Here is a 22,133-nt window from a genome sequence, read left to right on the forward strand (position 1 = left end):
TTTTGTTAAGAGAGACAGTTGACTAAGGCCATTCCAGCTCCGGTCACTTTTCCACCTACCACAGTCATCCCTCCACCACCTGGGATCCACCTCTGTAGATTCAAGCAATATTTGAAAAAAGGAGATTATGTCTGGGCTAACACGTACAGACATTTTCTCTTGTCATTATTCCTTAAACAATAGAGTACAACAACCATTTACACTGTGTGATGTATTATAAGGAACCTGAAAATGATATAATGTATAAGGGAGGATGTCTGTCAGTAATATGCAAATGCTATGCATCATTTTCATTTCAGGGACTTGAGCATCCATGGATTTGGTATCCGAGGGCGTCCTGGAACCAACCCCCCACGGATATTGAGGGACCACAGTATTTTTATCCTCCATGTCACCCCATCCCTGACCTCCAGAAACAAACAATCATTTGCCATTTTAAAGGACCTACACTAAATGAGCAACAGAAGAGCTCTCCCACCCACCACCGACTCCATGCCTGTTTTCAGCATTGTAGGGAGGAAGAGTCCCGGCCCTGGCTGATGGCTCTCAGCTCCTGGGATCAGGTGGCAATGGAGGGTCATGTCTCGGCTTCATTGACTTCTTGCATCGTAAGGCTCCTCTTATGAGACAACCTTTCCTCTCAGGCCCTTAGGTCCAAGTCCCCTCTCTCAGCTTTCTCTGAGACCTCAGGTGTGAAGAATATGTTTTTATTTATTTGCTGGATTTTTGTTTGAATACTGATGAAAACTAATCATGTGGGCTTGGTCCTCAGGATTAATCGTCCAAGTGTAAAAACGGAAACCACCACTGAACGATATCTGACCATCAGCTACAAGTTTTTCTTTCTCTTGCAAAGAAACAGCTCATAATGACTGAAAATGAAGGGCATGGTAAGCTGAGATAGAGATATCCCTTGCTTCCCAACACCCCACCCCTGAAAAATCAGGGAAGGCAGGCCTCTGTTAGAGCTGTTTTGCTCCAGAAGAGAACTCACAGCCACTTTGAAGTGAACGCCATCCATCTTTGAGAGGCCAGAGCCCTCAAAGTGTTTGCCCAGGGAGGATGCTGCATTGAGGGGAGGGTGGGAACAGCCCCACTAGCCAGCAACTGTTTGCAGCAGTGAACTTGAGCCCCCCAGACACTGCCCAGGAGTGGAAGAAACCTGACTTGGAATAGCCCCAGATGTGGCGCCGAGCCTGAGCACTGGCCTGCCTGTCTGGGAAGCTTGGCGAAGATTCCTGTGTTCAATGCTTGGCATGGAGTGAGTGGAGCTGCCACCTTCAAACTGCATGGGGGGTCACTTCCACAGACCTGGTTCTTGCTGCTTGGGAGATCACTGTCCCCACCCCAGAGGCAACTAAAAGTTTCTCGTTAAAAGAAATGTAGTTGGACCCCAAAGTTCCATGAAATAGGATGACTCCAGGAGAAGTTGATTGTTAGGGGGTCTAACTCAACCCTATACTCCTTTGTTTGGCTAAGAAGGGAACTTCAGTGTGATGGATAAAGTCACCTGCACACCTCACACAGGAAGAACTCTCCTGCTTCAGGGGGTAAGAAGCTGTCCTGAAGTAACCCTCACCCAGGCCATCTTGTGAGCTCTTGGCCCTCAAAGGAGGCGATCTGTGAAGAACTAAAGTTTTTCACTAACATATCATCTTGGGACTCAAACTATGTAACCAGCCTGAGAAAGGAACAGAAAACACAGAAGAGAAAGAGCTTGCTTCCCTATCGTTTTAAAGACTTCAATTTTAAAAACTGCCATTTCTTTGCATTTTTTGTTCAACAATTTCTGAACAATTCCTACAGGCAAGGGACTTTCCAGGTGCTGTTGGAGATTTTATGGGAAAAAAATTCAGTGTCTGATCTTGGAGAATTTAAAATTGGCAGGACAGATAAGATGGGCACAGTTCTCTCTTTCTAGAATATTATCCCACTCCTCAGTTGGCCTGACTCTCTTTCTAGAATATTATTCCACTCCTCAGTTGGCCTGACTTAATCATGCTTCCATCTCAGCTTCGATGTGCCTTTCCGAGGTAAGCCTTTGTGGCCCCTGCCCCTAATACAGAAGAGACACTAATTTATTTTCCTGCTCTGTGGTCCCAGAGTTATGTGAATTTCCTTTTGAAATTCATCATGCATATTTATTTATTTATTTATTTATTTATTTATTTAAGCATATTTCTCTATCAGAGTATACCTGTCACCATGGCAGGGATTTGTCTGCCTCTTTCTCTTTCACTGAAGTACCCACAGTACCCGGCATAGTGCTGGCGCTGTTCAGGGTGCCCGGTAAACTTGTGTGAATGAATTTTTACCTGGCTCTGAAAGAGGGTGCTCAGAAGTAGCAGTGAACGCTGGGACCCTGGGAAAGGAAGACGGTTATCGTAAAGGAGGTGACACAAGGCTGGACCTCACAAGATGAAATCTCAGTAGGGCAGGAGGGCAGGGAATTTGGACAATGAGAAGAAGCGAAGCTCAGAATAAATTAAGTAAATTGATGATGATGATGACAATGACAGCACCATTTATCATGTAGTCACTTTATGCCAGGAACTCTCATATTCGTAGCATCGTTTATTTATTACACCAACCATGAGGGGTAGGTACCACCGAGCCCCATCTGCTGATAGGAAAACCAGGGTTCATAGAGATAAGTTCCTTGCCACAGTCCTATGGATGGAAAGTAAAGACACTGAGCTTTGCATTTGGACTTAGACCTAGAGTTGTTCAAACCCTAGTTCTGCTCACTCCACGGAAAAGTGGGTTTTCTGAGGGCAGTACAAGTAGAGGAAAGTGGAGAAGCGGATTGCAGTTTGATTCTTAGGGGCCAAGAATGCCACCGGGGGATTTAGACTTCAACCTAATCACACGTATTTATTTCTTCAAAGGCTAGCGAGCCTTTGAACGTTTTTGAGCCCATGCGTTGGAAAAATTCCTCCGGAAAAGAGAGAAGGTGAGGGAGGGGAGGGCAGGGTCTGAGAGTTGAGGAGTCTGCAGCAGGAGGTTGGGAGACACAGTACGGAGCTAGGACAGCAGGTCTAGAAATGAAACTAGGACACGTCCAGACCTCAGGTGGAATTAACTAGAATCTGGTTAGAGAGCCAGAAAGAACAAAGAGAAAAAATACCTCCCAAGTTCCCACCTGGCTGCCCAGGAGGCTGTCATGTGCTTAACAAATAAAGCATGCCCTTTAACAAACACAGGAGCGGGGAGGTGTCTGCAGGGAGGCCTACAGACAAAACGTGGAACGAGGCTGCCCTCTTCTGGAGAATAAAAGCCGGAAGCTGAATCAAAGTCCTCATCTGCCCAGGACAATATATTATTATTATTATTATTATTATTTTCAGAGACAGGGTCTTGCTGTGTTGCCCAGGCTGGCATGCAATGATGAAATCATAGCTCACTGTAACATCGATCTCCTGGGCTCAAGCGATCCTCCTGCCTCAGCCTCCTGAGTAGTTGGGACTACATGTGTGTGCCACTGCACCCAGCTATTTTGTTTGTTTGTAGAGAGGAGTTCTCACAAGGTCACCTAGGCTGGTCTCAAAGTCCTGGCTTCAAGCGATGCTCCCAACTTGGCCTCCCAAAGTGCTGGGATTACAGGTGTAAGCCATCACACCCGGCCATCAGCACGTTTAACTATATATCCTTTTATATATTTAAATATATATCTTGTATATATACATATACCTCCATACAGGACCGACTGATGCTGAGTTGATACTAACTAGTCAACTAACAAACAACTGGTAACTAATAACCAGGTAGGAATTCGGACAAATCTGGTTGTTTGGGGAGAACAAGCGTCTGTCAAACAAGTTGTTACATTTTCTAATGCATCCTATTTCAGACTCAGAAGCAGTTTATATTTTACACAGTCTCTCTCTCTGTAATTCCTACAGACTTATCAAGCACAGGAGAAAACCTAGGTAAAAAATAGATAATAAAACACTCAAGAATATCTCAAATAAAAAAAAGTGTTATAATATCAAATGTTGTTGCAGATGTGGAACAAGATGTGGAAAAACTTGAAACTCCACTAATAGGAGATATCGCAAAGCCTGACAGCAAGGACAGAGAGAGGGAGACAGAGCTGAGCTAAAAGTCCAAAGTAAGACAGTACGCCAAGACCCAGCAATTCCACTGCCAGTGTAGACCACATAAAAAGAGTTCTATGTTACCAAAAGATATGTACATGTATATTCCTAGCAGTACTTTTCATTATAGCCCAAACCTGGAAATTGTCGAATTATCCATCAATAGTAGAATGGACAAGTGTATTTATATAAGTGTATTCATATAACTTAATATAATACAGCTATGGGAATTTACTGCTACTCTGAACAGCAAACGTACATGTCACAAGCATAACTTAAGTGAAAGAAGCCAAACCAAAAATCACATATATCATTCCATTCACAAATTTCAAAAACTGGCAAAATTTTTGTATGGCGATGGAAGGCAGAATACCAGCTCCTCAGGATATGGGCTGGGTAATGTTCTGCTCCCAAATCTAATTGTGGATACGGGGTGGGGGTCACTGTGTGGATACATCATTGTGTCACTGTGTGAATTCAGGAGTACAGACTTTGATATGTGAGCTTTTGTGTTTGTATAATATATATTATATATATATATATATATATATATATTTTTTTTTTTTTTTTTTTAAGAGATGGGGTCTTGCTCTGTCTCCCAGGCTGTAATGCAGCCCAGAACTCCTAGGCTCAAGGGATTCTCCCACCAAAGCCTTCTGAGTAGCTGGAGTAGGTGGGACTATAGGCATACACCACCAAACCTGGTAGTATATTCAACTTTAAATAAGTGAAGTGGCTGGGTGCGGTGGCTCATACTTGTAATCCCAGGACTTTGAAAGGCTGAGGCTGGAGGATTGCTTGAAGCGAAGAGTTCAAGACCAGTCTGGGTAACATAGTGAGACTCCATCTCTAAAAGATTTTTTTTAAATAAAATGTACTTAAAATTTAGCAAAGAATTCACTTGCAAGGGCTAAGTTGAAAAGACAGGAGTAAAAGGGTAATAGACAATTTAGAATATATGGATATATGTCGTTTGATACTTTAATATATATTATTGTTTTTTAATTATTTAATAGTCCATGAAACGATTAAATTCCATGAAGATAAGAACTGCACCTCATTCATCTTTATAGCCTCTGGATGCCCAGTGTACATGATAAAGTAGCTATTCAGAAAATATGTATTTAAAAAAATTTTCAACGTTCTGTTTATAGCACAGTTCTCTAAACTAAATATAGTGACTGAATAAGTAAATTTCTACAATAACAAATTAGACAATAAAGACAAAAGGCATTTCTGGGCTTATATTGGACAAAATAGCAGCAAGAATAGAGGCAAATTACTCTGTTTCTGTTACCTTAGGATGAAAAGAATTTGCTTGGATTTATCCAAAATCTTTTTTCTCATCCAAATGTGAAAATATAATGAGGTAAATTTTCAGCAATGACATTGTATTAGTCCATTTTCATGCTGCTGATAGAGGCATACCCAAGACATGACCATTTACAAAAAAAAAAAAGAGGTTTAATGGACTCACAGTTCTACATGCCTGGGGAGGCCTCACAATCATGACGGTAGGTGAAAGGCACGTCTCACATGGCAGCAGACAAGAGAAGAGAATGAGAACAAAGTGAAAGGGGTTTCTCTTTATAAAACCATCAGATCTTGTGAGACTTATCCACTACCATGAGAACAGTATGGGGGAAACCACCCTATGATTGAATTATCTCCCACTGGGCCCCTCCCACAACATGAAGGAATTATGGGAGCTACCATTCAAGGTGAGATTTGGGTGGGGCCACAGTTAAACCATATCAGACATATTATCTATTGCAACATAACAAATTACCCCCCAAACTTAGGGCTTAAAACCACATACATTTTTTTTTTCTTCAGTTTCTGAGACTTAGGGATCTGGAAGTGACTTAGCGGGGGTTTCTGACTCGGGGTCTCCCAAGATGTTGGCTGGGGCTGCAGTCATCTGAAGGCTTGACTGGGCCTGGAAGATCCACTCTTCAAAAGGGTCACTCACATGGCTGTGGGCTGGAGGCCTACTCACAACTCTCCCCAGAGCAGATCACCCAAGAGAAAGAGTAAGCCGGCAGACACCATCACTTTTATGTCCTACTCTCTGACATCACACACAATCACTTCTACATTCTATCACTACAAACGAGTCACTAAGACCAGCCCAAATTGAGGTGGAGGGGAATTAGGTACCATCTTTTGAAAGGAATGTTAAATAATCTGTGGACGTATTTTAAATCATCACAGTCCACCACCTGGCCACAAATTATTTCTATTTCTCCTACATGTGAAATACTCTCATTCCTCTCAACTCCTCCCAAAAGTCTCAAACTTGTACAAGATGTCCAGGTTTGAAGTCCAGGATGTAATTATTTAAATCAGATCCCAATACAGAGAAGTCTTCTCAGGTGTAGTTCTGCAGTTTTTTTTTTTTTTTTTTTTTTGAGTTGAGACAGTGTCTCACTCTGTAGCCCAGGCTGGAGTGCAGTGGTGCAATCTCAGCTTACTTGTAGCCTTGACCCCTGGACTCAAGCAATCCTCCTGCTTCAGCCTCCCAAGTAGCTGGGACTACAGACACACACCACAATGACTGGCTAATTTAAAAAATTTTTTTTTGTGGTGATGGGGTTTCACCATGTTTCCCAGGTTGTTCTCAAACTTTTGGGCTCAAGCAGTCATCCTGCCTCGGCCTATTAAAGTGTTGGGATTATAGGCATAAGCCACCTTGCCTGACCGGGTGTAGTTCTTTAAGAATCCATCTTCAAGTAGAGTTCCTCTCTGTCTGAAGTCTTGCGGACTAAAAAGACAAGTTATCTGCAATGTCTATCAATTATCTATCACCGTGTAACTAACTACCCCGAAAACTCTGTGGTTTAAAACAACATTTATCTCAGTTTCTGTGGGTCAGGAGTTTGGTGGTTTTGCTGAGTGTGTCTGACTCAGTGTTATTTCACAGTGTTGGAGTCAATGTGGGATGCAGTCATCTGAAGGCCTGATTGGGGCTGGAGGATCTGCTTCTAAAAATCCCTCACCAGCATGGTTGTTGGCTGGTGGTCTCTGATCCTTACCATGTGGACCTCTCCCTGGATTGCTTAAATCTTCTCACAACACACAGTTGGTTTCCTCCAGAGGAAGTGATCCAAGAGGAAGCCAGCAACATGGAAGCCATGATGTAATTTATGACCTAACTTTGTCACATGGCTTCACCTCTGCTGTGTTCTATTGGTTACTCAGAACAACCCTGATATGATACAATAGAGGACTAGGCAAGAGCGTCAATCCAGGAATTTAGGGCTCACGGGCACCATCTTGGAGACAAGCTAGCATACTCGTAAAGCTAGAAGCTGAACCCAGGAGCACCAACAGAAGCTGTAGATTCTGGTGATGTCTCAAACACTTTTCCTGTGATCTTGATACAGTAACAAAATTTCTGGGTACCCTGAAAATGGAAATAATAAGTTTCTACCAGATGAATGATTAGTTGATGATGATCACTTTGAAGTAAGATGAGCCTGGCCATGTAAATCCAGCAACGTGTTCTTGGAAAAAATCACTGCCCTTCTCTAGGCCTTGGTTGCCTCAGCTTCAAAAAGTGTATAGTAATAGCTGCTTTGGGCCAGGCGCAGTGGCTCACGCCTGAATCCCGGCACTTTGGGAGGCCGAGGTGGGCAGATCACAAGGTCAGGAGTTCTAGACCAGCCTGGCCAATATGGTGAAACCCCATCTCTACTAAAAATACAAAAATTTGCCAGCCGTGATGGCGTGCACCTGTAGTCCCAGCTACTCAGGAGGCTGAGGCATAAGAATCACTTGAACCCAGGAGGCAGAAGTTGCCATGAGCTGAGATTGTGCCACTGCACTCCAGCCTGGGCGACAGAGTGAGACTCTGTCTTAAAAATAATAATAATAATAGCTGCTTTGGTCAGTTCTTATAGGGGTTCAAGATTACATATGTAAGATACCTAGCAATTATTAAGCAATTGATAAATGGTAACTATTTTAAAGAATATTGCATATAGGCTGGGCGCGGTGGCTCATGCCTATAATCCCAGCATTTTGGGAGGCAGAGAAGGGCAGATCATGAGGTCAGGAGATCGAGACCATCCTGGCTAACACGGTGAAACCCCATCTCTACTAAAAACACAAAAAATTAGCCAATCATGGTGGCACGCACCTGTAGTCCCAGCTACTTGGGAGGCTGAGGCAGGAGAATGGTGTGAACCCAGGAGGCGGAGCTTGCAGTCAGCCAAGATCCCGCCACTGCACTCCAGCCTGGGCGACAGTGCAAGACTCCATCTCAAAAAAAAAAAAAAAAAAAAAAGACTATTGCATGTTTTGTGATATTGCATGGTAACCATCTGAGTTGATAGATGTATTTCAGTTTTTGGAAAGAAATATTTAAATTAGTAAAAGGGTAAACCTTTCTCATTTAATACCTGGTATACCATATTTCATAAAACTAAGAAAATAGAAAAAAAATCCATTGCCCTACAACTCTAATGTAATGTCATCACCGCCTTTCCTTCCAGCCTTCTTCTCCATGCATTTCCCATAACTGAAGTCAGAGTGTATATAAAAGTTTGCTTTTTGCTTCTTTCTCTTTATATCTTAATATAGAAATGTCTTACAAAGTTTGACACAGACACTTGCCCCAGTGTGTCATGCTCAGAGCAATGACCCACGGGTTCTAATGGGAGGTGAGCATTGGAGAAGGAAGGGAAATTCCATAGGTCAGTAAGGCTGCATCAGGATCAGCTGAATTTCTGACAGCAGATCTCACGGAGAGAATCAAAGGCTAACTAGGGGAAACAGTAGGAGTCACTAAGAGATTCCGGAAGTTGTGTAGGGATGAAAGTTGCTTAACTACTGTCTGACTCAGTTCATCTTCTATACATCAAAGATGTTACATGCCCCTACCTTTATAGGGCTGCTGGGAGGATTCATCAAGTTTCTGCAGGTAAAGTTCCAGGCACAAAGTAAAGATGTTGCTATTAAAATGGTAAGATGTGGCTGGGCGCGGTGGCTCATGCCTGTAATCCCAGCACTTTGGGAAGCCGAGGCGGGTGGATCACGAGGTCAGGAGTTCAAGATAAGCCTGGCTAAGATGGTGACACCCCATCTCTACTAAAAAGACAAAATTAGCCAGGCGTGGTGGCGGGCGCTACTCGGGAGGCTGGGGCAGGAGGGTTGTGTGAGCCCGGGAGGCAGAGGTTGCGGTGAGCTGAGATAATGCCACTGCACTCCAGCCTGGGCAACAGAGTGAGACTCTGTCTCAAAAAACAAAAAACAAAACCAAAAAATGGTAAGATGCAATGCATCCGGGTCTAGGATTTTCTCAAGCGTTTAGCAGCCTAGGAATTCTCAGTAGACTTCTGAAACATATAATTTATGCCCTAAAATTTTGATGACTAATATCTATGATATAGTAAAGCCTGTCTGGATATCAAGTCAGTGTGGGTTTGATCATTTATTTCAACCATTGGAAACAAACCCCAATGCCTCCAGAAGCCAGGTGGGTGACCTAAGGGTGGGATGGCAGGAGGGGTGTACCACCTAGAGAGCACAAGCCCTCCTCAAAAGAGAATCTGTTACTGACTTCGTTATTGCCCTATGTAAGTGTGGACCAGGCTTGCTGTTTGACATCTACAGTGCATTATTTCAACATTCATCAGGTTTAATGCACTATGCCACATAAGCGAGGTGATGCTACTAGGATATTTTTTGGAAATTTACACACACACAAGTCTGCTAAAATAGTTAGGTCTAAGGATTCCTAGCTCTGGGAGAAGGGTTACATTTTCTGCCTTATCTCCAGCTATTGGGGTTATTTGAATTATTTAACCTTGACCTGTTGTATTAGTCCATTCCCACACTACTAATAAAGACATACCTGAGACTGGGTAATTTATAAAGGAAAAAGGTTTAATTGACTCACAGTTCTGCATGGCTGGGGAGGCCTCAGGAAACTTACAATTATGATGGAAGGGGAAGCAAACACATCCTTCTTCACGTGGCAGCAGCAAGGAGAAGAATGAAAGCTGAGAGAACAGGAAAGCCCCTTATAAAACCACCAGATCTCATGAGAACTCACTATCATGAGAATAGCATGGGGTTAACCACCCCCATGGTTCAACTACTTCCCACCGGGTCCCTCCCGATTCACATGGGGATTATGAGAACTACAATTTAAGATGAAATTTAGGTGGGGACACAGCCAAACCATATCACCTGTATTTAATTTATATAATAAAATACATTTAATCTATAAATTATGTTAAAAGTACACATTGAAACCTGAAAGGTTTCAAGAAGTCCTATACTAGAGCAAAGAAACCCATTTAACAGTAATCAGCCCCTTGTTTCTCATAATATTTCACTCAAAATCTTTATTTTCCATATAAAATGTATGAACACCTTACGGAGCACTCTTTGGGAAAGGATGCCCAACTTTTAAAAGGAAGACCCAAACAAACCGGTCAACAGAAACAGAGTGCTGCTGTGGTGCCATGCCCGAGACACCTGCCAATAGTCCTCTGCCACTCGCCATCCTTGCATCAGCATCTGGGACATGGTAATTACACTCGACGGCCTGTCACTCCACCTCTCCTCATTCCTCAGCTCACAGAAAAGAGATCTGTGAAACACCAGCTCTGGTCTCGGCAAATATTTGTTTCCCCCTGGCTCCCTGGAAAATGCATTTTTAAAACTGTTCCTACAATTGCAGTATGGCAGCTGCTTTATCAGTGTGTGAAGACAGAACAATGATGTGGCTTAGATACTTGACATTTTGTATTGTTGGAAAGTGGCAAATTGCACTGAGCTGTAAATGCACTGTAAGTGGTGTTGTGTTGAATTATAAAGACAATTAGCACATTTCTTCCTTGTTTCTCGTTTATCTTTTCGTTTGTAAACATGGAAAGCAGAGTGCGATAAGCTTTACACCCCTTATCTGTAAAATGAGCTCAGTGATACTTATCTTGCAGAGTTTTGTAAACCAGAATTTTAAAAATGTTAAACTACCTAAGAGAATACAAAACACATAGCAGCATCCAATAAATGACAATTTTTACTATTTCTTCCACACCTCCTGTTAACATTAAACTCTTGGAGGGTGGAAGAAAGCATGGACATAAAGCACATACAGTCACTAGAGGAAATCAGAATACTGCAATGTTTGAGGTTCTTTGAAAGTTTTTAAAGCGTTTTAAGGGTCCTTAGACATGATCTTTTACAGATGAGAACAAGATGAAGTGAGATTGATAAAAATTAATCAATTTGCCCATGTTTTGCACAGGAGCATAAATTACCAGCAGACAACATCTGGATTCCATACTAAGAACACAAACATCTCACTACAGAGTTACAAACTGAACATGCCTCATGCCTAAAGTGCACACACCTATCAATCTTAGCTTTGCATGGTCCCAAAGACTCTGTAACTTTCACAGATTTGCATGTTTAATAACAAATTTGAATTTTGGGACTACTAAGTCATCTGCTGCAAATGTCACCAGTCCGTTGTTTAAGTTTCTGCGTGTATTTCACTCAACAGGTTTTCTTCATTAAGCACGGTGTTGTCTGTCCATCAGGCAGCAAAGCATCAGCGCATCCTACCACCAGATGGCACTAGACCCACTTGTGGAGGCTCTGGGGGCGCCATCAGCGTGGGACTAGAAGCTGATGAAAAACGAGAAGTTTCATTTCCCGGTTCCATTTAAACGTTCATACTGGGCCATAAAAGCAGATGAATTAGATATGCCATTATCCTGCATATATACATTTATATTTTATTGTATATATATATAAATATATATATATATATATATATAGAGAGAGAGAGAGAGAGAGAGAGAGAGAGAGAGACGGAGTCTCACTCCGTCACCCAGGCTGGAGTGCACTGGCAGGATCTCAACTCACTGCAACCTCTGCCTCCAGGTTCAATCGATTCTCCTGCCTCAGCCTCCTGAGTGGCTGGGATTACAGGAGCGTGCCACCACACGCGGCTAAATTTTGTATTTTTAGTAGAGACGGGGTTTTACTTTGGTCAGGCTAGTCTCGAACTCCTGACCTTGTGATCCGCCCGCCTTGGCCTCCCAAAGTGCTGGGATTGCATGCGTGAGCCACCGCGCGTAGCCTATCCTGCATATTTAAAGTTAATTGTGTTTAATAAAAATAGAGCAGAGATAGAGAAGTGATTGCCAGCCCAGCAGCTCTGAGCTATCTCATATAAGGCTTAGTAGGGAATCCTGACCCACACTCCAATCTCCAAGCTCTAGACATCTCACCAACAAAACAGGAAGCCAACACATTCTGGATCTTCTTTCCAAGATAAAGTCGACCATTCGTAATATTTTTTTCAGAGACAACGGAAGCTGAAAAATAAGAGCTGAGAAAGGAAGAACTTTTCTATAAGAACTTAAATCCAAAAGGCTATGGGATAGTAATGGAAAGTGGAGGAGAACAAAAAAGGCCTGGAAAGTAAAACCAGGAGGAAAAACAAACGTTTTAGAACAGCCAAGTGTGGGGAGTTGGAAAGTGAAGCTTTGAGTAGAAACCAGAGTTACAAAATTTCAGAGCTGAAAGCGGCCTTATAAGGAAGCAGAATTGGGCCCAAGGCCTAAATATTTGCCAAAAACCACGCAGGCAATTAGTGGCAGACAAGAGAGGACCTTCATTTTTGCTAAACAGGGCTCTTTCCACTGAAACATGTGGCCCTCTCAATATCTAACTAAAAACCTTTCACAAAATCCAAGTAAACACAGAGAAACATCCTCTCTTCTGTCTCCACTGCTTTCTCTGTCCACACGTGCACATGTACACACACAGCCACCATTATAACAATACAGGAAATTGAAGGAAACCATCTGAAACTTCAACGTCGGGCACAGCCGCCACAGATAACATATCAAATGCAAGGCTGGAAATCAGCACTGTTCACATTCACACAGGAAGCCCGACTCAAGCTGTTTGACCGTATTTAGTAATCAGTTCCATACTCACAAAAGAATGCCAGAACAAAAACAGACGGAAAAGAAAAAAAAAATAAATCCAACCATCCTTTTCCTTTGGAGGAGGACTTATACCACGAAGTTTAAAGAGAGGCCCAGCTGGTTTATAGAATTCTGCAGGAAATTTGGGGACCTCTGTAATGCCATTGTCTTCACTGGCCCAGGCAAGTAGCCGTACCAAGGCAGTTATGGGGATATTCAAACAAATCAAAGCCATATTTTACCTCAATTGTGCTTATACTTTAGGTGAAAGTATTCTGGACCTAATTATTTCTAATAATCATCAGATGCATCCTGATCTCATGGGAAGTGCTGAGAAAACCTATGGGGCTATTATCCACTTACTAGCTCTGTAAACTTGGGCAACTTAACTGTTCTGAGCCTCTTCCTTCTTCTATAAAAATGAGATTGATTACTATTGCCTTCCAGAATAGTTCTGAGGTGAAAATGAGAGTCAAGTTCTGTGCTCGCTTCAGCAGCACATACACTAAAATTGGAACGATACAGAGAAGATCAGCATGGCCCCTGTGCAAGAATGACATGCAAATTCATGAAGCGTTCCATATTTTTTTCTTAATAAAGCCTCTTTTCTACATATGAAAAAAAAAAGAGAGTCAATGTTCTATGGCACGAAGACACACCAGTAAATATCAGCCATTTCTTTCAGATATAGATAGATAGATAGATAGATAGATAGATAGATAGATAGATAGATAGATTTTTTTTTCCTGAGACAGGGTCTCCTTCTGTCACCCTGGCTGGAATGCAGTGGCAGAATCATGGCTCACAGGAGCCTCAGTCTCCCTGGGCTCAGGTGGTCCTCCCACCTCAGCCTCCCAAGTAGCTGGGACTACAGGCACGCCACCACACATGGCTAATTTTTGTATTTTTTGTAGAGATGAGGTTTCACCATGTTGCCCAGGCTGATCTTGAACCCCTGGAGTCGAACAATCCATCTGTCTCGGTCTCCCAAAGTGTTGGGATTACAGGCATGAGCCGCCGCGCCCGGCCCCATTTAATTGTTCTATTTTGTTTAATTTGGGCGGACTTGGGCCTCAAAGAGAAAAGTGAGAAGAAAATGCCTCATTTACAGTGGAGCCACTGGTGAGTTCTCTTAGACCTAATCTACATCTGAGGTTCTCAAATATTTTGGTCTCAGAACCCACCTACTTTCTTAAAAATTGAGGATTCCAAATGGCTTTTTAAGTCTGGGTTATTGATATTTACTATATTCACAAATAATACTCAGGGTTGGGCGTGGTAGCTCACGCCTGTAACCCCAGCACTATGGGAAGCCGAGGTGGGCAGATCACTTGAGGTCAGGAGTTCGAGACCAGCCTGGCCAACATGGAGAAACTCTATCTCTACTAAAACTAAAAAAATTAGCTGGGCATGGTGGTACACGTTTGTAATCCCACCTAGTTGGGAGGCTGAGGCAGGAGAATCGCTTAAACCTGGGAGGTGAGGTTGCAGTGAGCTGACATCATGCCACCACACTCTAGCCTGGGTGACAGTGAGACTCCACCTCAAAATAAAATAAATAAAATAACAATACTGAGAAAGTCTTAAATTATTTATTCATATAAAAGTAAAAGTAATGTATTACATGTTAATATAAATAACACAGTTTATGAAAAATGTATTTTCCAAAACAAAACAAAAATGTAGTGAGGAGAGTGATGTCATTTACAGTTTACAGATCTCTTTAATGTTTAGCTTAATAGAAAACAGCTGGATTCTCATATCCACTCTGCTTCTACACTCAGCCTGTTGTAATAACTTGTTTTAGTGGAAGTTTGTGAAGACAAATCAACCTCTGTGTATGGGAGAAATATTTTAATAGCTTTTTCAGGTATTGGTGCTTACGGTGTGATACTGTACCTAAGTTCAGTAAGTACTAGTTTCTTAGAAGTTAATTTCAGGATGGAATCTGCAACCTTAACAATGGAGTTTTCTGCAACCTTAACAATGGAGTTTTTCCTCTGTTATAGGAAATACATTGACTTATTTTGCACTTTGAATACATTTTATATCTGCATGATTTTGTAACATTTGGAAGATATTGGTTCACTGAGTTATACAGATCTTCCAATTTCAGTATATTTTATTATACAACATTAAAATATTTTTAACAATATTACCACCAATCTCATCAGAACAGTCTCTATAAGGAAGCTGTCAAGCTCACTGGGATAGACCTAAGTTTTCTATAGTTCTTATTTTCTCTTAGTTCAAATTTTACCTTTGGCACCAAATACTCTGTTATTTTACTTGAGGTGACAATCTCACTTTATTCATTTTTGAGGAAGCATTTATGAAATATTTAAGTCTAAAATAACCATAGTTTGTCTTACTTAATTTAAAGTAAAAGCAGTGTTCCATGAAAAAAAAAAAAAGTTTAGGTTAACTCACAGTTCAATTACCAAGTGTTTTTTTTCTCAAGAAAACTAATATACAAACTTCACTGTTCAGCAGAACTGCTTTTGTGCCTTTCCCGTGTGGTCACACACAATATTAAATGGGTATGAACATAAAGGTCAAGGCTTAATGAAATTAATTAGTACTGGTGTATCAAGGACATTCGTAAGTGAAACTGCCATTCATTTTACTATAAGTATGTGGTAATAATTTGGTGCCACGCTAAAATGACAGCAGTTTTACCCCTTTTTGCTTTGTAAAATATATATGTTTTTATTTTTTTGGTGCTCTACATGCTCAGAAAACTATATTAATGAACTACAGAAATGACCCCTGAAAGTACAGTCTTTGCTTTTGTGCCATCAGTGGAAATGTAAAGATAGTGAAAAAGGCAAATAGTATCCTAATATTATTATAAAAGTAGTTTTGACCTTACAAACTCCCTGGAATGGCCTCAGGGATACCACCCCACAGTCGTCCGAGGCACACTTTGAGAACCACTGCTCTCAGCTCCTTTTTATACCTTTGCACGTCTGTTTCATCAGCTCTGCAGCTCCTGGTGGCCTCTGTCCACTCTAAGTTCCCCTACTGCAGCATTCAGTAGGGTTGTATTTCTTTAAGTTCTCTGATTTAAAATTTACTATATCCTGGCAGGGTGTGGTGGCTCACGCCTATAATCCGAGCACTTTGGAAGGCAGAGGTGGGAGGATTGCATGAGCTCAGGAGTTAGAGACCAGCCTGGGAAACATAGCAAGCCCTGTCTCTACAAAATAGAAACAAAAATGAGAATTAACCGGGCATGGTAGTGTGAGACTGTAATCCCAGCTACTCTGGTGGGTGAGATGGGAGGATCACCTGAGTCCGGGAGATGGAGGCTGCAGTGAGCCATGAATGCGCCACTGCATTCCAGTCTAGGTGACAGACTGAGATCTTGTCTCAAAAATAAATAAATGAACAAAAAATAAAATAGAATGTACTATATCCTCTATTCACAAAAACAAAAAAATTTATTGAGTACCTAATATGTGCCAAAGACTGTTCAAAGCATTGAAAATACAGAAGTCAACGAGATAAGCACGGTCACTGGTCTTGTGGACTTTCTATTCTAGAGGGAGAAAATAGACAGTAAACTTGTAAGTGAATTAACATACAAGGTAATTGGTAACTTCCAACAATGTTAAGTGCTGTGATAACCATACAAACAAACCGATGCCACTGAGCATGACGGGATGAGCCAGTAGCCAGGCGGCCCCAACCCAATAGGTGTCACGTTTGTGTATCCGGCCGTGCATAACAGTACATCATAAGTGGGATGACTGAAGATTCCAGTGAGAATCTGTCTACCATAGAATTGCAATAGCCCTGGAAAGCTGGGGAAGAGGAAGAGGACAAAAAGCAAGGTTGCTTGTATTTGAAAGGGGTGCTCCTGGCCAGGGGCAGTGGCTCATACCTGTAATCCCAGCACTTTGGGAGGCTGAGGCGGGCGAATCACTTGAGGTCAGGAGTTTGAGGCCAGCCTGGCCAACATGGTGAAATCCTGTCTCTACTAAAAATACAAAAATTAGCCAGGCGTGGTGGTAGGTGCCTGCAATCCCAGCTACTCAGGAGGCTGAGGCAGAAGAATCGCTTGAACCCAAGAGGCAGATGTTGCACTGAGCCGAGATAGTGTCACTGCACTCCAGCCTGGGAGACAGTGTGAGAGATTCCATCTCAAAAAAAAAGAAAAGAAAAGAAAAAAGAAAGGGCTCTGGGTAGAATGAAGCCTGGCCAGTCTCCCAGGGGGAAGAGCAAGTTACTGGGAGGAAATCACTTAAGAAAAGCTGAGTCCAGGACAAGAAGCCACTCTGTCCTGCTGGGGGCCAACGTGGGATGCTGATGCTCCTAGCTGCTACTTGTTCTGCCTGAGGATGGTGGCAGAAGGGGGCAAGGATGGAACTGGGTTGTTTGTAATGTGAAGTTTCCATTATCCTGATGGAAATACCCAACTTCACTGACACTCAGGAGCTGGCTATTATTCCTGCTTTGGGGCATTCCAGAGCTGCTTCTAGGACATACCAATATTTTTCATCTGTACCAGTATTCACCTAACCTGGGTATCTAGGGCAAAACCAGACATAAGACAGTAAAAAATAGGCTGGGCATGGTGGCTCATGCCTGTAATCCCAGCACTTTGGGAGACCAAGACAGGAAGACCGCTTAAGGCCAGGAGTTTGAGACCAGCCTGGGAAACATAGTGAGACCCCATCTCTATTAAAAACATTTTTTAAATTAGCCAGATAAGGCCAGGCGCAGTGGCTCACGCCTGTAATCCCAGCACTTTGGGAGGCCGAGGTGGGCAGATCACTTGAGGTCAGGAGTCAGGACCAGCTTGGTCAACATGGTGAATGAAACCCTGTCTCTAAAAAAAATAAATAAAAATAAAAATAAAAATTAGCCAAGCCTGGTGGCACATACCTGTAGTCTCAGCTACTCAGGAGGCTGATGCAGGAGAATTGCTTGAATCTAGGAGGTGGAGGTTGCAGTGAGGTGAGACTGCGCCACTGTACTCCAGCCTGGGTGACAGAGCGAGACTTCATATCAAAAAATAAAATAAAATAAATAAAAATTAGCCAGGTGTGGGCCAGGCGTGGTGGCTCACACCTGTAATCCCAGCAGTTTGGGAGGCCGAGGAGGGCGGATCACGAGGTCAGGAGATCCAGACCATCCTGGCTAACAAGGTGAAACCCCATCTCTACTAAAAATACAAAAAATTAGCTGGGTGTGGTGGCGGGCGCCTGTAATCCTAGCTACTCGGGAGGCTGAGGCAGGAGAATGGCGTGAATCCGGGAGGCGGAGCTTGCAGTGAGCCGAGATTGCGCCACTGCACTCCAGCCTGGGCGACAGAGAGACTCCATCTCAAAAAAAAAAAAAAGAAAAATTAGCCAGGTGTGGTGGCTAATTTGAAAAGCACTTTGCCATTGAGGAAATAAATATGATGCTACTCACTCGAGAAAGTTTCCCTGGAATTAATTCCTTCCTTGTTTTCCTCTCTCCTTTATCCCAGCAAGATGCTGCTGTTGTTCATGCTGAAGGAATGTGTCTTCTGCAGTAGGGCGGCATCTCCCGGGCAAGCTTCTGGTGTTTTTCTGTGATGCAGCTGCTCTCTCCAGTCCTGGGACATGGGCTATGAGCCTTTCACTCCGCCTTTCCCTGTGATCTTTTCTCTGGGAGTTAATGCTCTTCTCCATGCTTCACTGAGGAGCCACGATCTGGTTTCATGGATTTCACCCTTTTCTCATAAGTATGAATTATTGTAACCCCAACAGAGGCACATTTGATCCCTTTCACAGGTCATTTCTCTCTTAGCCACTTCGTGTTTTCCAGAAGACATGTCCTGGAGTGGCTGCAGGTCTCTGTGCAGAACTGCACTGTAGACAGATCATGTGCACCCTACTTCAAACGTGGAAAAATCTCCCTGCTACAGAAATGCGCACCCAAAGGCATCCATTCAATCCCCTCCATCAATTAGTTAATGACATACTCCCCCTTCTCATTAAATCAGAAAATTCTTGAAGGCAAGCCCATTGTTTCGTCTCGTATCCCTACAGTCCCAGCCTTTGGAGAAGGTTGATGCTTATGTTGCAAGAACATTAGAAAATTTGCTTAGAAAGACTACTGCACAGTAGTGTTATTTGTTTGTTTGTTTGTTTGTTTTAATTTTTATTTTTAGAGACGGGCTCACTCTGTGACCCAGGTTGGAGTGCAGTGGCATGACCACAGCTCACTACATCTCAACCTCCTGGGCTCAAGTGATCCTCCTGCCTCAGCCTCCCAAATAGCTGGGACTACAGGCATGTACCACCACCCCTGGATAATTTGGCTCTGGTGTCCAGGTTGGGACTCAAGCAATCCTCCTGCATCAGCCTCCCAAAGTCCTGAGATTATAGGCAAAAGCCGCTACAGTCAGCCTCTGTGGTCTTCATGTTGTCCCCAGAGAGAGTTGTGAGTGGGTGATAAGGGTGGTGGGAGAATGGATTTTTCTCTAATCTCTATTTCAAGAGCAATAGTACTTCTCTTCTAACCACCCCTCCCCCAGTCACATAATTTATTATATGGTCCCATTTTAGCCTGGCTTCTAAAGTGTTTAAAGCCAAATTTATAATCCCCGCATAGCAGCTGTGGGATCTCATCACAAGTATCTTGGGAATAAAAGCCTGAAGGGCTTCATCATATTTTTCCCAGCTTCAATATCTTTTTGTCCTGTCTTCCACACCTTCATCATTGTTGTTTTGTCTTCGCTCTTCAACTTTTACATGTATCTTGGATACATTTTGTCTCCTAAAAACAGATTCTCTCATAAACTTTAACAGTTGGTCCTGCATCTCTATCACAGGAACATTTTTCACCTTAAAAAAGAAATTACAGGAATCATCTCAAGCCTTCACTTTGGACTCTGGGGAATATCACAAGGGAACAACACAGTTGAATCAGAAAAATGCAAATCAGAATCGCAAGAGAGCCTCTAGGTTTTCACAGCTGCCTAACCTAGTTCTAACACCACCAGCATGCGCTCTAAATAATGCATGAGGAATCAGCCTTGCCAGTCTGCTGATTGAATTAGTATGGTGGCGGGTGGTAGCTAAGGGTGGGGGCACTAGCAGGAAATTACAGAGAAGATAAGGAAAGCAGAATAGTTTTCCTTTGTTCATTCTTCAAAAAGCCCTCTACTCTACAGTAAACGCACGTACCACAAAGTAAAGCTAGGAAAACGAGGGTGCATTCTAGCTGGTGGCTTTATCTGATTCATCCTAAATTCTAGCTTTGTGTCCCAGGTTTTCAATTCCTACTTCCAGTTCTCTTTGCTTTCTGCAAATGTGATTCACCTCTTAGCTACTTGAAACAGAGCTTGCTTTTTGGCTCATCGAGTCTTCTCAACCCCGTAGTTTGAGCATCTCCTTTTATCCTTAGAGAACCCTGTTAAGCCACTGGCTCCATCACCCATGGCTGAACCAGGAGCTAGTGGTCATGATGGAAGAGGGAAAGAGGACTGCAATCAGGAAGATGTAATCAAAAAGCTGTTCTTGTTTAAAGGCAACATGAAGTGAACTCAAAGAAAGTTGTGTGTGTGTCCCAAACCTTAATTGTTCAAATATTTTCCTTCAATGTTTCCTTTTTATTTTGTTTGGTTTCTTAAAATGGAGCTCATGGAGAAGGGAATAAGAGCTGAAATCCTAACCAATATATAATTTCCATTATGTAATATCAGCTCATTTTTTAAGACAAAAAATTTATCATGTTTCGTAGCCATCCACACAGGATCTCCATGGAAGAGACTAAGCACTGATAATATTAGACAGAAAAATGCTGAGATTGCACATTTCAGCTATTTTTCTTTGGCTCTACACAGGCAAAGAACGCATCCAGAGGGCTTTACTGAGAACATTCACTGCACCGACATTGTTTACTAAAGGAAGCTGACTGTAGCAGTTGCTGGTGAGGAAGAGGATACTTTCCTCAGCTTAATTCCCAGAATACAGAGTGTGAGTGTGTGGGAGAAATCCAAGTGAACTTGACGAACACATGGCATTCACACTGTGAGGACAACAGATGGGACGTGTCAGCAATAAACTGCCTAAGTTTGGTGAGGCTATTTCCTAAGAGGAGCAGTGTGGCACAGTGGGAAGAATAGTAAATTCAAAGGGTTTAATTTTGGTTTTGGCTTATGGTGCTTTGAAATTGTCACACCAGAAGCCGAATGTGTCAGGAAAACCGCTCATTCCCAAGCAATGTTATGAATTACATGGCTGTGAACCAAACAATTGCTCTGGTTTAGAGTCTGGTAAGTGGACGTTGAACCCGTCAAAAGGCCTGAAGGCCAGGTCTGAATCACTTGTACTTCCCACGTGGCCCTTTCTACGGTGATTAGTGAAGCCTCCCCACATAAAGAGAGCTAATGAAAGAGATTTATTCGGAAGAATCTGCTCATGCGATTGTGGAGGTTGGCAAGTCCAAAATCTGCAAGGCAGGCCAGCAGAATGGAAATTCCAGAAGAAGCCGCTATCGCAGTCTTGAGTCTGAATGCAGCCTGGAGGCAGAATGCCTTCCTCTTTAGGGGAGCTCAGTTATTTTTCTTACAGCCCTCAAATGATTGAACGAGTCCCACACAGATTATAAAGGGTAATCTGTTTTATTCAAAGCCTACTGGCTTATATGTTAATCATATCTTTTAAAATATCTTTACAGCAACATCTAGACTGATGTTTGACCAAACTACTGGGTGCTATAACCTGGCCACGTTGACACATAAAATTAACCATCACACATAATTAAGTGCTCAAGAAATTGATGTGATTTGATATCCCAAGACAGACATATTTCTGAGACACTATTTCTTCAGCTGAACAATGTAGAGATTAGACTTTATTATTCTAACTCTGACAGTCAAAGGGCAAAATTTAAGTCCTGAGAATATGAGAGACACTGCAACTTCTGGTCTCCTCAGATGAGTTGAAGAGGTTCCTTTTTTAAACAGATTTTCTTAAAATAGTGGTAAAATATGCATAACGTATAATGTAACATTTTAACCATAAAGTTCAGTGACATTAAGTACATTTCCATTGTTGTGCAACCATCACCACAATCTACCTCCAGAACTTTTTCAACA

At 42.4% G+C, this 22,133-nt stretch overlaps 1 long non-coding RNA gene and 2 pseudogenes across 5 annotated transcripts in view, besides 1 other annotated feature; 1 reads left to right on the plus strand and 2 right to left on the minus strand.

Annotated features, from left to right (window-relative positions):
* LOC124901889 (uncharacterized) overlaps positions 1–6,182 on the minus strand; it is a 51,754-nt gene extending 45,572 nt beyond the window's left edge. For 3 of the 5 annotated variants that reach the window (XR_007060825.1, XR_007060829.1, XR_007060826.1), the window contains exons 1-2: positions 5,917–6,182; positions 2,316–2,362 (exon numbers count right to left, since the gene is read on the minus strand). This is a non-coding gene — a long non-coding RNA (uncharacterized LOC124901889). Of the gene's footprint in view, positions 1–2,315; positions 2,363–5,574; positions 5,602–5,916 lie in introns of those variants that run through there. The other 2 variants (XR_007060827.1, XR_007060828.1) reach the window with 1 other exon arrangement.
* Positions 10,395–10,603: a silencer, noted in NCBI's record as "fragment chr8:12898718-12898926 (GRCh37/hg19 assembly coordinates)". NCBI's record gives its function as "represses an EF-1alpha promoter that drives an FKBP-Casp9 reporter gene in an ReSE screen in K562 erythroleukemia cells {active_cell/tissue: K562}" and the evidence as "EXISTENCE:reporter gene assay evidence [ECO:0000049][PMID:32094911]".
* Positions 13,536–13,641, plus strand: RNU6-842P (RNA, U6 small nuclear 842, pseudogene; annotated as a pseudogene).
* On the minus strand, positions 15,766–15,839 carry LOC124902103 (uncharacterized; annotated as a pseudogene).
* Positions 15,840–22,133: the final 6,294 nt, after the last annotated feature.

Source organism: Homo sapiens, chromosome 8 (assembly GCF_000001405.40).
Source record: "Homo sapiens chromosome 8, GRCh38.p14 Primary Assembly".
NCBI classification, from domain to species: domain Eukaryota; kingdom Metazoa; phylum Chordata; class Mammalia; order Primates; family Hominidae; genus Homo; species Homo sapiens.